Raw genomic sequence first — 21441 nt, 5'->3', positions numbered from 1 at the left:
GGGAATGATTTTACCTAAGCCTGACTCAGAAAAAGGAGTTTAAAAAGTACCAGAGACACTTCATGATTTTGCAGAGCCTTGGCTCTGGTCATGTCTAGTTAATATCAACACCATTACCTCCAAAATAAATCATAATCATTTATTATATATATATATATATATATATATATTTAACTTTCATTGTAAGTTCAGGGGTACATGTGCAGGCTTGTTACATAGGTAAATGTGTCATGGCAGGCAGGGGCACGGGTTGTTGTGCAGATTATTTCATCATCCAGGTATTAAGCCTAGTATCCTTTAGTTATTTTTCTGGATCTTCTCTCTCCTCCCATCCTCTACCCTCCTATAGGCCCCAGTGTGTATTGTTCCACTCTATGTGTCTATGAGTTCTCATCATTTAGCTCCCACTTATGAGTAAGAACATGTGATATTTGGTTTTGTGTTCCTGCATTAGTTTGCTAAGAATAATGGCCTCCAGCCTCAACAATGTCCCTGCAAAAGGCATGATCTTGTTCTTTTTTATGGGTGCATAGTATTTTGTGATGTATATGTACATTTTCTTTGTCCATTCTATCATTGATGGACATTTAGGTTGATTCCATGTTTTTGCTATTGCGAATAATGCTTCAATGAACATACATGTGCATGTCTTTATAATATTATAGAATGATTTACAGTTCTTTGGGTATGTACTCAGTAAGGTGATTGCTGGGTCTAATGGTATTTCTATCTTTAGGTCTTTGAGGAATTGCCAAACTGTCTTCCACACTGGTTGAACTGATTTACACTCCCACCAAAAGTGTATTAGCATTCATTTTACTCCATAACATCACCAACATCTGTTACTTTTTGACATTTCACAGTGGCCATTCTGACTGTTGTGAGATGCTATCTCATTGTGGCTTTGATTTGCATTTCTCTAATGATAAGTGATGTTGAGCTTTTATTCATGACTGTTGGCAACATGTATGTCTTCTTTTGAGAAGTGTCTGTTCATGTCCCTTGCCCATTTTTTAATGGGGTTGTTTTTTTCTTGTCAGTATGTTTAAGTTCCTTATAGATGCTGGATATTAGACCTTTGTTAGATGCATAGTTTGCAAAAAATTTTCCACCATTCTTTGGGTTATCTTTCTACTCTATTGACAGTGTCTTTTGCTGTGTAGAGCTCTTTAGTTTAATTAGGTCCCATTTGTCATTGCTGCAATTTCTTTTCGTGTCTTCATCATGAAATCTTTGCCCATGCCTATGCCCTAAATGGTATTGCCTAGGATGTCTTCCAGGGTTTTTATGGTTTTGAGTTTTACATTTAAGTCTTTAATTCATCCTGAGTTAATTTTTTAATATGGTGTAAGGAAGACGTCCAGTTTCAATCTTCTGCATATGGCTAGCCAGTTATCCCAGCACCATTTATTGAATAGGGAGTGCTTTCCCTGTTGCTTGTTTTTGTCAGGTTTGTTGAAGATCACATAGCTTAGTGATCTTAAGTAAGCATGTGGTCTTATTTCTGAGTTGTCTATGCTGTTCCATTGGTCTATTTGTCTGTTCTTACATCAGTACCATGCTCTTCTGGTTACTGTACCCCCATAGTACAGTTTGAAATCAGGTAGCCTGATACCTCCAGCTTTGTTCTTTTTGCTTAAAATTGCCTTGGCTGTTTGGGCCCTTTTTTGGTTCCACATGAATTTTAAAACATTTTTTTTTTCTAGTTCTGTGAAGAATGTCAATTGTAGTTTAATGGGAATAGCACTGAATTTATAAATTGCTTTGGGCAGTATGGGCATTTTAATTACATTGATTGTTCCTATCCATGAGCATGGAATGTTTTTCCAATTGTGTGATCTCTGATTTCTTCATGTAGTAGTTTGTAGTACTCCCTATGGAGATCTTTCACCCCCCTAGCAAGCTGTATTCCTAGGTATTTTATTGTTTTGTAGCAACTGTGAGTGAGAATTCGTTCATGGTAAGGTTTGATTCTGTGTCCCCACCCAAATCTCATCTCCAGTTGTAATTCATATAATCCCCACATGTTGAGGAAGGGACCTGGTGGAAGGTGGCTGAATCATGGGAGTGGTTTTCCCCCTGCTGTTCCTGTGATAGTGAGTGAGTTCTCATGAGATCTGATGGTTTTGTAAGTGTTTGGAAGTCCCTCCTTTACTCTTCTTTCTTTCCTGCTTCCTTGTGAAGAAGGTACTTGCTTTCTTCTTTACCTTCTGCCATGATTGTAAGTTTCCCGAGGCCTCCCCAGCCATGTGGAACTGTGAGTCAATTAAGTCTCTTTCCTTTATAAATTGCCCAGTCTCTATAATAACTCCATTCGCCTGGAAACCACACTCCCATCAGCCACAGCAGCCACACCAAGACCTGCCCAAAGAAAGTATGAGCTCAGACACACCTAACCCTGCCCCATTGGATGGCCTTTCTCTACCCACCCTGGTAGCCGAAGACAAATGACATAATCTCTTGGGAGCTCTATGGATCCACCCACTGCCTGATCCTATACTACTACAGCTGATGTGCTCTCGAAAATGCCACCACCTGGCTGAAGGCCAACCAATATAAAACCAGTGCACTTAACAAAAATACAACCAAGAACCTTCACAGGGTCCACTTCAGTCCCCTGCTACCTCCACTGGAGCAAGTGATGGCATCCATGGCTGACAGACCTGAAGACGAATCACATCATAGGACTCTTTGCAGACACTCTCCAGTAACAACCTAGATCCCAGTTGCTCCACTGGGTGGCTAGATCCGGAAGAGAAATAACAATCATTGCAGTTCGGATCTCAGGAAGCCCCATCCTTAGGGGAAAGGGAAGAGCACCACATCAAGGGAGCATCCTGTGGGACAAAAAAATCTGAACAGCAATCAAGAGTCCCAGATCTTCCCTGTGACATAGTCTACCCAAATGAGAAGGAACCAGAAAATCAATTCTGGTAAATGACAAAACAAGGTTCTTTAACACCCGAAAAGATCACACTAGCTCACCAGCAATGAATCCAAACCAAGACAAAACCTCTGAATTGCCACAAAAAGAATTCAGAAGACAATTATTTTATTTTATTATTATTATTTTTTTTTGAGACACAGTCTTGCTCTGTCACCCAGGCTGGAGTGCAGTGGTGCGATCTCAGCTCACTGCAAGCTCTGCCTCCCGGGTTCACACCATTCTCCTGCCTCAGCCTCTTGAGTAGCTGGGACTACAGGTGCCCACCACCACGCCCAGCTAATTTTTTATATTTTTAGTAGAGACGGGGTTTCACTGTGTTAGCCAGGATGGTCTCGATCTCTTGACCTTGTGATCTGCCTGCCTCAGCCTCCCAAAGTGCCGGGATTACAGGCGTGAGCCACCGTGTGCGGCCCAGAAGCCAATTATTAAGCCAATCATGGACGCACCAAAGAAAGGTAAAATCCAATTAAATAAATAAAAAAAATACAGGATATGACTGGAAAAATCTCCAATGAAATAGCAAACGTAAAAAACAATCACAATTTCTGGAAATGAAAGACACACTTAGAGAATTGCAAAATGCACAGGAAAGTCTCAGCAACAGAATTGAACAAGTAGAAGAAAGAACTTCAGAGCTTGAAGACAAGGCATTTGAATTAACCCAAGCCAATAAAGACAAAGAAAAAAGAATAAAAAAATTAACAAAGCCCCCAAGAAGTTTGGGATTATGTCAAAAGACCAAACCTAAGAATAATTGGTGTTCCTGAAGAAGAGAAATCTAAAAGTTTGGAAAACATGTTAGAGGGGATAATCAAGGAAAGCTTCCCTGGCCTTGCTAGAGATCTAGATACCCAAATACAAGATTCTCAAAGAAAACCTAGGCAATTCATTGTAAAAAGATCATTGCCTGGGCACATAGTCATCAAGTTATCTAAAGTCAAGACAAGGGAAAGAATCTTAAGAGCTGTGAGGTAAAAGCTTCAGATAACCTATAAAAGAAAACCTATCAGATTAACAGCAAATCTCTCAACAGAAAGCTTACAAACAAGAAGGGATTGGGGTCCAATATTTAGCCTCCTAAAACAAAACAATTATCAGCTAAGAATTTTGTATGCAGTGAAACTAAGCTTCATAAATGAAGGAAAGATAAAGTCTTTTCCAGACACAGACAAAAGATGCTGAAAGAATTCACCACTGCAAAGCCAGCACTACAAGAACTCCTAAAAGGAGCTTTAAATTTCGAAACAAATCCTCGAAATACACCAAAATAGATTATTCTTAAAGCATAAATCTCACAGGACCTATAAAACAATAACAGAATGAAAAAAAAGGTATTCACGTAACAAATAGCACAATGAATAGAATAGTACCTCACATCTCAATACTAACATTTAAAGAAAATGGCCTAAATGCTCCAATTAAAAGATACAGAATGTCAGAATGGGTAAGAATTCATGAACTATGTATCTGCTGTCTTCAAGAGACTCACCTGATATGTCAGGACTCATGTAAACTTAGGGTAAAGGGGTGGAAAAAGATATTCTATGAAAATGGACACCAAAGATGAGTAGTAGTAGCTATTCTTATATCAGACAAAAAAACCCACAAACTTTAAAGAAACAGCAGTTAAAAAAGACAAAGAAGGACATTATATAATGATAAAAGGACCGATCCAATAGGAAAATATCACAATCCTAAATATATATGCACCTAACGCTGGAGCTCCCAAATTTATAAAACAATTGCTACTAGATCTAAGAAATGACATAGACAGCAACACAATAATAGTGGGGGACTTCAATACCCCACTGACAGCACTAGACAGGTCATCAGGACAGAAAGTCAACAAAGAAACCATGGACTTAAACTATACTCTAGAACAAATAGACTTAACAGTTATTTACAGAACATTCTACCCAACAACTGCATAATATACATTCTACTCATCAGCACACAAAACATTCTCCAAGATAGACCATATGATAGGTCACAAGAAGTCTCAATAAATTTAAGAAAATAGAAATTATATCAAGTACTGTCTCAGACCACAGTGGAATAAAATTGGAAATCAACTCCAATAGGAACCCTCAAAACCATGCAAATACATAGAAATTAAATAACCTGCTCTTGAATGATCATTAGGTCCACAATGAAATCAAGATGTAAATTCAAAAATTCTTTGAACTGAAAAATAGTGACACAATGTATCAATACCTCTGGGATACAGCAAAGACAGTGCTAAGAGAAAAGTTCATACCATTAAATGTTCACATCAAAAAGTCTGAAAGAGCAAAAATAGACAATCTAAGGTCGCACCTCGGAGAACTAGAGAAACAAAAACATACCAAACCCAAACCCAGCAGAAGAAAAGAAATAACAAAGATCAGGGCAGAACTAAATAAAATTAAAACAAAAACAAATACAAAAAATAAATGAACCAAAAACCTGGTTCTTTAAAAAGATAAATAAAACGCATAGACCATCAGCAAGATTAAGCCAAAAAGAAGAGAGAAGATCCAAATAAGCTCAATTAGAAACAAAATGGGAGATATTGCAACAGATATCACAGAAATTCAAAAGATCATTCAAGGCTACTATGAATACCTTTTTTACGTGCATAAACTAGAAAACCTGGAGGAGATGAATAAATTCCTGGAAATATGCAACCCTCGTAGATTAAACCAGGAAGAAATAGAAACTCTGAACACACCAGTAACAAGCAGAGAGACTGAAACGGTAATTTTAAAGTTACCAACAAAAAAAAAATTCCAGGACCAGATAGATTCACAGCTGAATCCTATTAGACATTCAAAGAAGAATTGGTACCAATCGTATTGACACTATCCCAAAAGACAGAGGAAGAGGGAATCCTCCCTAAATCATTCTATAAGGCCAATATCACCCTAACACCAAAACCAGGAAAGGGCATAACAAAAAAAGAAAGCTATAGACAGATATCCCTGATCAACACAGATGCAAAAATTCTCAAAAAAAATACTAGTGACCCAAACCCAACAGCATATCAAAACGATAATCCACCATGACCAAGTGGGTTTCATACCAGTAATGTAGGGATACATTCATAGGTATGTATACATTAAGGATACATAGGTAAATAGATATGATACACCACATAAACAGAATTAAAAACAAAAATCATATGATCATCTCAGTAGATGCAGAAAAAGGGTTCAACAAAATCCAGCATCCCTTTATGATTAAGACCCTCAGCAAAATCAGCACAGAAGGGTCATACCTTAAGGTAATAAAAGACACCTCTGAGAAACCCACAGCCAATATTATACTGAAAGTGTAAAAGTTGAAAGCACTCCCTCTGAGAACTGAATCAAGACAGGGATGCCCACTTTCACCACTTATATTCAACATAGTACTGGAAGTCCCAGCCAGAGCAATCAGACAAGAGAAAGAAATTAAGGGCATCCAAATCAGTAAAGAGCAAGTCAAGCTGTTGCTGTTTACTGATGACATGAACGTATACATAGAAAACCCCAAAGATTCATCCAAAAAACTCCCAGAACAGGTAAATGAATTCAGTAAAATTTCAGGATACAAAATTAATGTACACAAATCAGTATCTCTGCTATAAACTTGTGACCAGGCTGAGAATCAAATCAAGAACTCAACCCCTTTTACAATAGTTACAAAAAATTAAAATACTTAGGAATATACTTAACCAAAGAGGTGAAAGACCTCTACAAGAAAAACTACAAAACACTGCTGAAAGAAATCATAGACAACACAAACGGAAACATATCCCATGCTCATGAATGGGTAGAATCAATATTGTGAAAATGACCATACTGTCAAAAGCAATCTGCAAATTCAATGCAATTTCCATAAAAATTCCACCATCATTCTCCACAGAAGTAGAAAGAACAATCCTGAAATTGATATGGAACCAAGTAAAGAGCCTGCCTAGCCAAAGCAAGACTAAGCAAAAAGAACAAATCTGGAGACATTACATTACCCAACTTTAAACTACACTATAAGGCCACAGTCACCAAAATAGCTTGGTACTCATATAAAAATAGGCATATAGACCAATGGAAAAGAATTGAGAACCCAGAAATAAACCCAAATACTTACAGCCAACTGATCTTCAACAAAACAAACAAAAACATAAAGTGGGGAAAGGACACCCTATTCAACATATGGTGCTGGGATAATTGGCAAGCCACGTGTAGAAGAATGAAACTGGATGCTCTTCTGTTACCTTATACAAAAATCGACTCAAGATGGTGCAAATACTTAAATGTAAAACCTGAAACCATAAAGATTCTAGAAGATAACACCAGAAAAACTCTTCTAGACATTGGCTTAGGCAAAGACTTCATGACCAAGAACCCAAAAGCAAATGCAACAAAAACAAAGATAAATAGATGGGACTTAATGAAACTAAAAAGCTTCTGCAGAGCAAAAGAAATAAACAGCAGAGTTAACAGACAACCCACACAGTGGGAGAAAATCTTCACAATCTATACATCTGACAAAGTACTAATATCCAGAATCTACCAAGAAATCAAATAAATCAGCAAAATAAATAAATAAATAAACAAATAATCCCATCAAAAAGTGAGCTAAGGGCATGAATAGAAAAGTCTCAAAAGAAGATATACAAATGGCCAACATGCATATGGAAAAATGCTCAACATTACTATGTATCAGGGAAATGCAAGTCAAAACCACAATGCGACACCACCTCACTCCTGCAAGAATAGCCATAATAAAAAAATCATAAAGTAATAGACGTTGGCATAGATGAGGTGAAAAGGGAACACCTTTACACTGTTGGTGAGAATGTAAACTAGTACAACCACTATGGAAAACAGTGTGGAGACTCCTTAAAGAAATAAAAGTAGATCTACCGTATATGTGTGTGTGTGTGTGTGTGTGTGTACACACACACACACACACACACTTACCATGTAATACTACTCAGCCATAAAAAGGAACAAAATAATGGCATTTGCAGCAACCTGGATGGAATTGGAGACCATTATTCTTAGTGAAGTAACTCAGGAATGGAAAACTAATAATTGTATGTTTTTACTCATAAGTGGAAGCTAAGCTATGAGGATGCAAAGGCATAAGAATGATACAATAGACTTTGGGGACTTGAGGGACAGGGTGTGGGGGTGAAGGATAAAAGATTACACATTGGGTACAGTGTATACTACTCTGGTGACAGGTGCATCAAAATCTCAGAAATCACAACTAAAGAACTTATTTATGTAACCAAACACCACTTGTTTCTCCAAAACCTATTGAAATAAATAAAATAAAATAAAATAAATCAATTGCCCAGTCTCAGGTATTTCTTTATAGCAATGTGAAAATGGACTAATACAGCTTGTGATTTGGCTCTCTGCTTGTCTGTTGTTGGTGTACAGGAATGCTAGCAACTTTTGCACATTTGTTTTGTATCCTCAGATTTTGCTGAAGTTGCTTATCAGCTTAAGAAGCTTGGGGGTTGATATGATGGAAATTTCCAGATACAGGATCATGTCATCTGCAAACAGAGATAGTTTGACTTCCTCTATTCCTATTTGAATACGCTTTATTTCTCTTTCTTGCCTGATTGCCGTCATCAGAACTTCTAATACTGTGTTGAACAGGATTGGTGAGAGAGGGCATCCTTGTCTTGTGCCAGTTTTCAAGGGGAATGTGTTCAGCTTTTGCCCATTTAGTATGACATTGATTGTGGGTTTGTCATATATGGCTCTTATTATTTTGAGGTATGTTCCTCCAATACCTAGTTTATTGAGAGTTTTTAACATGAAAGGATGTTGAACTTTATCTTAAGCCTTTCCTGCATCTATTGAGATAATTATGTGCTTTTTGTCTTTAGTTCTGTTTATGTGATGAATCATATTTATTGATTTGCATATGTCATTTATTATGATTATGATTGACTTACAACTACCTACTTAATGCAACTGCTTTCTTGGATCATATTTAATTTATTTTTCTCTATTCTTATAGTTATACTCTGAGGTAGACACTGGCCCATTTTAAAGATAATAACATTGAAGTTCAGTAGGTTTAAATAGCATGTCCAAATTAATGTTTACAAGAGTACACATGACAATGAACACCTAGTTCTGCCCAGTTCTAAAGCATTTTCTCTTTGTCTTTATCATGCAGGTCTGAAAGAAAAGTATTGGTAACTGATTTTGAAAAGTAATTAAGTTCTATATAAAATTGGTCCATGTTTTGGAGTTATAAAACACATTAAAAATAATTAAGATGAAAAGCAAGTTTATAAGAATTCTAGTGTGAAAATTAATTTAAAAACGTTGTCAGCCTTAATAATTTGTAGCAGTAACAATTTTGTTACAGTGATGGTAGGTACTGAAATAATACAGTATTTTCCCACTAGTATTCTCCAATGTCTTACATTAAAACTCCTTAGTACTTTTTGGTTCTGGGACCCCCTTTTGCTTATAGAAGTTAAAGCAACAAAATCTTGGCCATATCTTGAGTGTGAAAGAATAGAACAGATTATCTATGAATAAATCAAGCCACCAAGAAGTAGTCAGGAATGAATACAGGACTACAGGAGGAAAAAAGAAGAACAGAAGATGAAAACATGCTGACTCTGTCTGTAAGATCAATGAATAGATTCCGCCTATTCATCCAATTTCAAAGCATCTATTTATCCTGTGCCAGAAATGGAGCTGGAAAGACAGAGATAAATACATCATATTTCTTGACCTTAAGGAAAAGTAGGCAATCTGATTTATCCAGACAAAAAGTGTGTTGAGAGACTTGGAGGTAACTCAGCTAATTCATAGGGTTCCCAAGATAAGGTCCAATTCATTTTCTATTCTCAGAAGTAACTCCACCATTGCTGCTCTGCATGCAATCTCTGGTTGAAGAGCAGAATCAATAATACAATCTTCCTATTACAACCTTAGCATGATATTGACAACATGATATGTAAGAGCTGGAGGAGCAGAGAGATAGCCCTTTTTGGAGGATTGCTTTATTTCTAAATGTTAGGTTTCCTTAGAAAGTCTTGAGTAATAATGCACCACTCAAAAATACTAAATAACACAAATAAATTCATTTCAACACCAAAATTCAATTTTTAAAGACTTGTATTATTAATAAGATCCTGCTTCTATTCCTTAATCTTGTATGTTATAGAGTTATGGCCTGGTTGTTGTATACCAGTGTATCTCAACCAGGGGAGATTTTACCACTAAGGGGATATCTGACAATGTCTGGAGATAGTTTTGGTTGTTTAAACTTGTGTGTGGGTATTACTGGCATTTAGTGGGTGGAGAACAGGGATGCTGCTAAAAATCCTACAATGCACAAGACAGTCCCCCACAACAAATAACTATCCAACTCAAAATGTCAATAGTGCCAATGTTAAGAAAACCTACTGAATACCAATTTTACACGAACTTAAAAACCTTTCCATAAAATTCAACCAAAAAATTATGCAATCAATAATTTTATTTTTTTCCAAAATAATGAAATGACTTGAAATTAATACATGACTTAATTTCTTTTAAATCTTTAGGTCACACACAATAAATGGAGTAACAATCAGACATAATTCAATTTAAGGACAGTTAACTTTCAATTGATTCATCTTTCTCCAGTCATGTTTGTCAAGTCACCAAATAGTGATCTAAGTTTCTAACATCTTTAGAGAATTTTTTGAAGCAATTCTTATATACGTGTGGCCAACTATAAAATATTCTCCTGATTTTTTTCCTTAAAAGAAAAATTATAGTGCCTCAACCACTTGCATCCAAATTATGAATCGATAATAATCTCAGTAATATCTAAGATAAAAATGCCCTGGTTGAACTAACTTTGATAGTTCATTTAGGTCAGGTGATGTATTTTAAGTGCACAAAAGAACTATTTTGAGGAATACTTAAGCATTCCAGATGGGCCAACATAGTAGCCAACTACTAATAGACTATTAACACATTTTTAAGGTCATCTAAATAGATCTACAAAGGATATCTGATCTACAAATGATGTCTGAAGGTCAATATTTATGGCTCTACCTCTATCTACTATGTGTTGGGTAGCAGGAAGTACCTAGGTGCCTTTAAGTTTTATGAAACAACAGCCAGCAAAAAAAGTCCCTCAGTTCATTGAAATAAATTCTTGGATAAGGCAAAAGCTGATCAGCATTTGTAGAGCTATCACAGAGAGTGCAGGCAACTTTTCCTTTCTCATTACCTTAGTTGTGTCCCCCAGCTTCTTGGGCTCCTAATACTTTGTCTTTTTGACTGTAGGGTATCCTTGGACCACCTGCATAGACTTGGATGCCCTGTGATCCTACCTCTTGGATCAGAAATAGAACCTTCATTTTCTTTACCAGTTCTGGCACTGACACTTCACTCCCCAGTTTCAAGTCTGCACAATCCTGGGCCATGTTTGTTATGATTCTAGAACATGATCACTTTTGTGATGAGAATGGAGGAGCTCTTTTCTTACCTCTTTCCCCTCCAGACCAGAAATATGGTCCAATTGATCAGAATCCTAACCTGATCTTCATTTAATGGTACAGAAGTTCCTGTGACCTGATATTAAAGTATTACACCAGATATAAAGCAATACCACAACAACAGTCTTATTAACTCATAGCTAATACAATTTAAGAACTGGATATGATGACTGAAATAAGCTCCATATCAATGAGAATTTCAATGGGATTATGTGCAGTCAATGTCCAGTAATTAGAAAAGCTATCCAGCTATTCAGTCCAATGCTATTTTCAATATGGAATGATCTGGGATTGGGAGAGGATTGAAGGAGAAATCACTTATTAATTGCCTAGATCAAGTATCTGTCAGCTTTTGCTCACCAATGGGCCACCTGTTTCAGCAAATAAAGTTGTACAGAACATAGCCACATGCATTTGTTTATAGATTGTCTATGGCAGCTGTCCTGCTGCAGCGGGTGAGTTAAGTACTGTGGGGTTTTTTGTTTGTTGTTTGTTTGTTTGTTTGTTTGTTTAGAGACAGGGTTTTGTTCTGTAGCACAGGCCAGACTGCAATGTCATGACCATGGCTCATTGTAGCATCAACGTTCTGGGCTCAAGTGATCCTACTGCCTTAGCCTCCTGAGGAGCTAAGACTATAGGTGCTCACCACCATGCCAGTCTAATTGTTTAATTTTTTGTAGAATCAGTGTCTGTCTATGCTGTCCATGCTTTCAATCTCCTGGGCCCAAGCTATCATCCCTACTTGGCCTCCCAAAGTGCTGAGATTACAGTGCTGGGCTTCTTTGTGCCTGGCCAAGTACTGTAGTATCAATAGACTTTATATGGTCCATAAAGCCCACAATATTTACTATCATATCTTTTACATAAAAAGTTTGCTATTTTCTAAACTTAAATTATAGAACAAACAAAAAAGAAAATATAAATAAACAATTTTTCTAAATATATTCCTATTTGAGAACCAAATTTTTGGAGGAGAAAGTATGATGACCCAGCTTTATTGAAACTTTCAGAAATTAAACTTCACATAATTGATTCTAGGTTTTTATATGTAGGTAGTTTAAAGGGGTGGGGGGAGAACGTTTGCAAGTACATTCGAAGTTCAAATATTTCTCATTTCTATTCATTTCACCATTATGTAACATCAAACACTCTATAATATATAGGGTTTATGAAAATCAAACCATTTAAGGACTGGCATTGAAATGCAAATTCCCACTTAATTCACCAAGAATACTAACATCTACTTTTATCTTTCTCCTGAATAGGACCTTAAGGTAACCAGGGACCCATGGTACTTTGTATGATCATCTATAATCTTATGCATGACACTTCTTAGAAAGTGTTTCTTCATTTACAGTTATTGAGTTGTTTTTTTTTTTTTTCCAAATGAATCTGAGGGAGTATCAGAAAAAAGAATGTATACTTCAATTTCAAGAACTTAGGCTAGAACAAGAGTGTTTTCTGGCTGGTAATACTGCATGTGACAAACACACTGAATGTTCACTGGCTCTGGTGAGTTCAGATGGGAGATTTGGAAAACAGGGTCATAGTTCCCAATCTGTAAGTATGGTTCTGTGTGGTCATGCTTTTGTGTCATATAGTGTGATTATAGAATTTTAGATCCTTACAGTAAAATAAGCCTTAGAAATGTTATATTCCAATTATTTTATACTGTAGCTGGAAAAATTGCAGTTAGGGAGGCAAAAATGCCTGGCCTAAGATCACAGTGCTAACTAGTGGGAGAGACAGGACTTGAAACTGTAACTCCTGGGATTTTTTTTTACTATACTGCAGAGCTAGCAAGCTGACTTGTCCCAAATAAAATGATGAAATAGAGAAATGCTGTCCTCAGACAACCATAAATAATCCTAAGCCCCCTTTTGAGTGCCTGCCTTGTCAGGACTCACACACCACATAATAAAGAATAAAGACCAAACTCCTTAGCACAACCCACAGTTGGAAGCCTGAATTACCTTTGTGTTCCCCATTCAATGCAACCACTCATATTTTTGGAATTCTAGAGCAACTCACAGGCCAAGACATCCCGTGAAAGCCAAAGCAGCCAATAGCAGTTATGGAGAAAACTAGTATCTTCAGAAAATCCTGGACACTAGAACTTATCCAATTCTGAAATCATAGGTATCCAGAACAACACGAAGTCATCCTTTTAAATGGGCCCATCTTGACTACACAAGGTACTCTCAAATTTATTCCAGGAAATGACCTGTGTCTTTTCACAAGATGGTGGTGCTGGAAGAAATCTTGTAGAACATCTAACCCAGTGATTTCCACAGTTTCAAAGTTATGATCCGTAAAAGCAGTGGAGCAAGCTCTTTAAGCAAATTTTAATTTTGTATAAGACCTAGGAAAAATATTTTATCCATCATAATACTAACAAGAGCCATATAGATCAAGATCATACTCTCTTAATCTAGATTTTATTTAGAATAATATTTACTAATATTACATGACGAGAAGCTGTGATTGGCCACTGAAGAGCTAAGAATTTCTGAGAAGTGACTGATGGTTCAGAAACATTCAGGTAGTCAGAGTTCCCATTCTTTTAAATGCCAAGAAGTAATATAATCCAATATATTCCGAGTATGTACGAGGAAACTCAAGCCCAAGACTGAGAGAGTATTAAAGGACTACCCAAGCTTATACGGCTTGCCAAGTTTCCCATTTCCAAGTTGGTGTCCCTTTCACTATAGTATACTATTTCACAGCATGGAAAGTTTTATAGCAAACTGATCACATAACCTTGTTTTCCTCATGTTCTGAAATGAAGAAAGAAATAATAAGGAAAAATAGAAGGGGTAAAGATAAAAGTAACTTAGTTCCTTCTTATGCCATTGATTGGCCCATACACATTTGCATTTTTAGAATTATAATTTCGAATGAAGTTTAAATCAAATTCACAACAAAGTTAAACTAAAGTCTGTATGTAAGCTGCAGTATACTTGGCATGAATTTTGGGTTAATATATTAATTCCACAGATTTTCAAAATGGATTCAATCAATATTACATAATATATAAGTGCAAAACACTGCGGAAGAAAGAGTTTGAGAAAGGCAATCCGTATGTCTAAAATTTTACCATTTAATCTGAGAGAATCTGTCAGCCTTATATCAATTAGGATACTTTATACAACAATTGACAGAAAATCTAGAAAATTCCAAACTGTTTGAAAAAGAGAAAACAGGAATTTTGGTCAAGACTCTGTGTTAACTCAGTTCTCAGAAAGGCTCCAAGGATGTGCATCATCTCAGTTTCAAATGTAGTCAACAGTATGTATGTCCGCATCTCATAATGTCTCTTTGGCTCTGATGGGGTTGTGTGTCTAACCTTGAACCAGTTTCTATGTCAGAGGAGTGTACAGCTCTGTTTGGCCTGGTCTGTATCAAATAACACTCCTGGAGTCTGTGAGGGATAAACTGCCCTCCACCAAAACTACAGACTGAGCGTGAGGAAATAGTGGATCCCTCCCTCTCAGATATGTTTCTGGGTGTAGGACAAATTAATACAAGACAGCCAAGAGGCAAAAAATGTCTATGACATACACACAGTAAAAATAATTAAATATATATTTAATTATTATTTAATATATATTGCAAAAAAGTCAAATAAAAGGCAAAGCTGCAGAGTAAATGGCTATAGTAGTTAATAGCTCTGCAACCGGGCTGTACAGGTTCAAGTTGTCACTCCAACACTTGCTAGCCACTAGGGCAAATTACTTAACCTCTTTTGGTTTCAGTTTATTCATCTTTAAAAATGGTGTTAATAAGAATACCTATTTCAAGGTATTTTGTGACAATTAAATGTGGTAAAAACCATAAAGTACTTAGAATAGTGCCTGACTCATGGTAACTACTCAATCAATGTTAGTTGTCATTATTATTATTATTATTAGACATGAGAGGCAAATATAAGGACTGTAAAAAATCAGAGAAAGAACTTATAAAGGGAGTTTGGGTAGGGCAATCTGTGGACCTGCACTAAATGGTGAAGAATGGGTAACTGTGATAAGCAGACGGGAAAGGAGGTGACCTTCTGGTTGCTAGGAACACTCTATGCTGAAGTGTAGCAGTATGAAAGAGCAAAAGTCACAGTAGAGCAATCAATCTGATGGAGTGAAGAGGAAAAATGTAACAGGGTTACAAGTGCTATCCTTTTTTCAAAAATACTGTGCATGGATAATTCTCCCAGGCTGTGATCCTGAAGTATTATTAGAAATTGTATTTTTTCACCTTATGTTTATCATCTTTTATTATGAATAGTTATAATCTCCTGTTTTATTTAATTCATTCACTAAAAATAGCTTTGTAGGCACCATTATACGATTTTACGATATATTCATAAAATTACTCTGTTAAGAAATAGATTGTAACACTCACCCCTTTGAACTCAAGAATAGCTATCTTGCCAACAAGAATGTTAATCTAAGGATTATTATTCTCATTTTAAAAGCCTCTTACCTTACTGATAGCTCTCACCTCCTCCAGATCTGCTAACTTCTTTCTCACAGTCTTTCCTCAGAGACTTCATAAAAACAATAATGTTATGATTCTCAAGTTATGAAAATCCATAAATAACACAAAAAGAAAATCACATCCTATATATTGACATTTCATGATATGTTATATCTGTCCCTGGATAGGATTCAGCAACATTTGCTAAAGGGTAAGAATTCTGCACCACATTGGGTAAATATTTTTGTAAGTTGCTATATATTAAATAAGGCATTATTCTTTAACAAGTAGTAAAAAAATCTTCAAAAAGATCTAATGAATACAATGAAAAAGTTTTCTATTAGTCACTTATGTAAGGCAACACTGAAATTTTACTTGGATAAAAAATAAAAGGAAAATTCTTCCATCTCAAATACCATGGTAATCAGTATGCTGATTGTTCACATATTCACACATTCAAAAACATGTTTTGTTTTCTTCTCCCCTTTTAAATAGACGTAACTACTATATTCAGGTACAATGCTAGGAGCAAGAATGCAAAGGCATAGCCCTGCCTCATAAATGTTTTAATATTTTTGGGATGCAGAGTTCCTATTTCTTTTCCTCCCAGGAGCTTCCTGCATGTACAAGATCCAAAAACCTGATTATCTAGCAACAAGCAAGGCCCAAGAAACACAGAGATGATGGGAGAGGTGAGACACTTGACCCACCAATGAATTGAGCCCTGTGCCAAAGCAAATTGTCCTGTTGCATCTCTATTTGGATGACAGATTTTCACATAGTTTCTGATTCAACTATTACGTTAAGTGGTTTCAAAAAGGACATGGCTGATGGTTGCAAGAATGGGATTTTTGGTTCATGTTTTGCTGTGGCTGTATCTATCTAAATGTTTTCCTTCTGAAACTATCAATTCCTTTGAAAATTCTTTCCTTCATTTCCCTCATCCTCCTCCATTACCACTCAGAAATAATCATCACTTTCTTGAAACACTTTTTTCGCAGCTCTATCTTACTATATAGAATAATATATGTTAGTTATCAGACACTATCACTCTCCAATTGACAGTGGTTTATGTAAAGGTAACAATTTTCCTTTTTCACCTTTCTGTGTCTAGATGTTTGGTGACTGCTGAATGAATGAGTGCAACAATGAATCTATGCATAACACTTCAGCTAAATTTTAACCTTTTAAATAGTATGCCTATGAAGATGTGCTTTCTGACTTTATGAAACACCATAAAACCTCCAAATAATTTTTCCAGAGTCAAGTTTGATATTCAGGCAGTTCTTCTCCATCCCTTGGTAACTTGCATAAAATGGAAGTTAACTAGCATTTTGAGGGAACATCCCTCTCTTCTTTTAGCTACAGGGAAACCCCAGTCTCTCTTAGACAATGGCAGCACTTGCTGTTGGGGTCTCTGGTAAAGAAAACAGGACACCAGTGGATTGAAAAGGAAAACCACTTAAGTTAATAATAATCAAAAGTCAACCAAGCATGCTAAATCTACAAAAAGAAAAATACCAGAAAATAAGCACTTGGCTGGTATAAAGTTTTAATCTTATTGTCACATTCTGATTCCACTTGAGCACTACAGAGTTGTGATTTGGTGTTATTTCCAGGCCTGAAGCTGTTGTTCTCCTTACTAATTGGTGTGTGTTAGCATCACTGGAATTTACATTAAGACAGTGTGGCCTGCTGCTCCCTTAAAAACAGATTAAATTTAATCCACAGTTTTCATGGTAATGAAAATAAAATTTGCTCTGAGAAAGAGGGAGAAGGAGGAGGGGAGAGAGAGAGAGAGAGGGAGAAAGGGAGAGAGAGAGAGGGAGAGAGAGAGAGGGAGGGAGAGAGGGAGAGAGGGAGAGAGGGAGAGAGGGAGAGAGGGAGAGAGGGGGAGAGAGAGAGAGAGAGAGAGAGAGAGAGAGAGAGAGAGAGAGAGAGAGAGAGAGAGAGAGAGAGAGACCCCAACATTCACAGGGTCTTTTCATGTGTGGGCTTGTTGGAATTTAAAAAAAAATTTGGTAACTTTTAGTATTTGAACACTTCTGCTGGGGTGGAATTGAATTTAGTGTGACATTCTGGATTTCACTCAAATATTATATGGAAGATTGTGGGGAATCATCAAAAGTTTTATTTTTTTGAATGGACAAACCTTGAAATATCCTTCTTCCCAAGGTAACTGATTAGGCTTCAGTCAGGAAATATAACTACTCAGGGCTTAGGTTAGGTAGAAGCTGTCAATTTAAAGGTACTATGCACAGATTAGTTTGAGGTCTACTGATAGTAGGCCATATGAATTCTAATCATCACCTTTTTTTTTTTTAATGAGGGAAAAATTCCCTGTTCCCTGTTTTATGTCATAGAAAATTTATAAACTTTAGCAGCTAGACCTTCTAATATATAAGTAGCAATTCTTTAAAATTTAGTTTATTGAAATTGACAATAATTGTACATATTCATAGAGTACCTAGTGCTGTTTCAATACATATAACATATAGCAATCAGATCAGAGTAGCATAATCATCATCTTACACATTTATCATTTTTCTGTGTTAGGAACATTCAATGTCGTCTTTCTAGCTATTTAAAACTACAAAATATACTATTGTTAACTATAGTCACCCTACAGTGGTACAGAACACTAGAACTTATTCCTCCTATCCAGTTAAAATTTTGTATTCTTTAGCAAATCTCTTCCTGTTCCTCCCTTTCACCTACCCTTACCAACATCTAGTATATTCTGTTCTACTTTTTACTTTTGTCAGATCAACTTTTTTTAGCTTCCATATATGAGTGAGAACACATACTGTTTATATTTCTGGCTTATTTCACTTAACATAATGTCTTTCAGTTCCAACCACGTTGCCATGAATGACGGGATTTCTTTCTTTGTAATGGCTGAATAGTATTCCATTATGTATATGTACCACGTTTTCTTCATTCATGCATCTGTTTTTAGACACCTAAGTTGATTCCATAGGTTGCCTACTGAATCCATATGAATACTACGGCAATAAACACAGGGGTGCAGATGTCTCTTTGATATAATGATTTCCTTATCTTTGGATAAATTCCCAGGAGTGGGATTGCTGGATTATAAGGTAGTTCTTTTTGCAGATTTTTGAAGAACTTCCGTACTGTCCTTTGTAGTGGCTGTACTAGTTTACATTCCCCTCAACAGTGTATAAGAGTTCCCTTTTCTCCACAGCTTTGCTTTTTTTGATAATAGCCATCCTAACTGGGGTAAAATGATATCTCATTGTGGTTTTGATTTGCATTTCCCTGATGATTAGTGATGCTGAGCATTTTTCATATATATATTTTTGGCCATTGGTTTGTTTTCTTTTGAAAAATGTCTGTTGAAATCATTTGCCCATTTATAAATTGGATTGCTTTTTTTTTCTTTTGTTTTGCTGTTGAGATGTTTGAGTTTCCAGCATATTCTATACATTAATCCCCTGTTATATGAGTAGCATCCTTTATTGAAGGAACTCCTCAGTGAGTATTCTAGGCACTTTTGTCAAAAATCAGTTGGCTGTAGATATGTGGATTCGTTTCTGGATTCTCTATTCTGTTCTTTTGGTCTATGTGTCTCTTTCTATGCCAGTACCATGCTGTTGTGGTTACTATAGCTTTTTAGTATACTTTGAGGTCTGCTAGTGTAATACTGCCAGGTTTCTTCTTTTTTTGCTCAGGATTGCTTTGGCTATTTGGGGTTTATGTGTCTGTGTGTATCCAGAAAAGACTTAGAAAATGGATCTTTTGTTGATAATTAAAGGATATAAATCTATACTATTTAATCCTTGATATGATATCACATTTCCTGATAGGTGAAAGGAATCAAATGAGCCACATATTCACATTTTGCATATTGCTTCATTTTATTGGCAAGGAAGATGGAACAATAATTCTGGCTCTGGGGCTCCTGCTCCCATGTTCTCTCCACCAATTTGCCTCTGTGCCAGCCCTGATTTTAATCATTCTTTAGAAAGAATTGTTTCCTTTCTCTTTTGAGTCAGCTTCAGATGGAAACTTAGGTACTTGCTAGCTGTATGACCTTAGGTCAGGCTTTAGGGAGAGATCACTGATGAGACTAACCAGCATATTGCCTGGCATGCAGTAAGAATTGAACATCGACTCTTTCTCTGCAGAGAACTCCTGGTCCTACCAAGACCATTGACCCTCTTCTCTCATTTGTTTTCTTTATATGAAGTCTACTTTAAATGTTATTTTCCCTTTTGAGTAATAGGTTGTTTTTTCCTAATATGATGAAGGGCTACCTCATCAATTTAAGTACCTGATAGAAAGGAGACATATTATTTGTATTTAGTTTAGTTTAGGTTTTTTGTAAGATTTTAGGAAATGTATTATCACTCACTAATACATTAGGACAAGTTTGATAATAGCCATCCTAATCGGTGAATTCTGAATGTGACTGGTGCTATTCATTTGACCTGAACATTTTTCTTTGATAAATAAAAGTTATACATGCATGCGGCATAACTTGTCCAATAGTTCATAGAAAACCAGAAGTTTCCAGATCCTCTCCTCCCATTTCTTTCACACCAGAAACAAAACTTTTCAAGAGTTTTGTCCATTTAATTTTAGTAATCACTTTCTTACAACTAACATACCTATGTTGCCATTTTTTTATTTTTTATTTTTTGATTTTCAAGGCATTACCAATTCGTTTCCCATATAACAAATGAGACTTTGGCTCACTTATATCCCATCCCCTAACCACACATACCCTCTTTCCATCTCTTCGTTTTGCAGCAAGGTAAGATTGTTACTTTGCTTAAATCAATATTCAGTGTTTACAATATTGTGACAACTGAGCCATTGGTGTCTGATAAATATTTGTTTTCTATACAAGTTTTTGTTTTCTTTGGAGTTAACAATTCTCTGGATTTTTTTAGTTTGCTTTGTTTTCTATATGTTTATTGCTACTAACACTACTCTAATATGTTTTTCATTATTACTAATAAAAATCCAAAGTCTTCTCCAATTGTGTGTGAATTTTCTCTCAATAGGTTTTGATACATCAAGTGGAATATTAACTAATCTTGAAAACTCCCAGAGCCTCTGCCTGCTCTGGGCAGGATGGCTGATGAACCTAGTTCGTAGCTCTCACCCTGAGCTGACCCTTGGTCATCATTCCAGCAGTACCATATAGTACTGTCTTGAATTCTGTCTTCACTTCCTTAATCTCATGTTTACATTTTCTTAGCTTATTGCCTCCTTTTGATGCACCACATCTTCTAGTAGATACCTAATACAAGGTACATGAAAGGGAAATACATTTTAGAGACGTTTCATGTCTGAAAATCTATTTTTTCTACCTTTGACTTTATTGGCAATTATGCTGGATATAGATTCTGGGTTGGAAGCCATACTCATTTAGAATTTTTAAGACATTGCTCTACTGTCTTCTAGCTCCCAGTACTCCTCTTGAGAAGTCCAATGTCATTCTGGTTCTTGATCCTTCGTATAGCACTTTTTTTTTTTCCTTTTTTCTGGAAGTCGA

General features: G+C 36.2%; 1 protein-coding gene and 1 non-coding gene across 6 annotated transcripts in view; one reads left to right on the top strand and one right to left on the bottom strand.

Moving 5' to 3' along the window:
* Positions 1–21441, bottom strand: part of KCNH8 (potassium voltage-gated channel subfamily H member 8) — a 387133-nt gene that overhangs the window by 209116 nt on the left and 156576 nt on the right. The window lies entirely within an intron of this gene.
* MIR4791 (microRNA 4791) lies at positions 11596–11679 on the top strand. Its single transcript, NR_039954.1, has one exon. It is a non-coding gene; the product is annotated as a microRNA 4791 (primary transcript).

Source organism: Homo sapiens, chromosome 3 (genome assembly GCF_000001405.40).
Source record: "Homo sapiens chromosome 3, GRCh38.p14 Primary Assembly".
Lineage (NCBI taxonomy): Eukaryota > Metazoa > Chordata > Mammalia > Primates > Hominidae > Homo > Homo sapiens.
The sequence above is the reverse complement of the archived record's forward strand: the minus strand, read 5'-3'. Positions and strand labels throughout refer to the sequence as shown.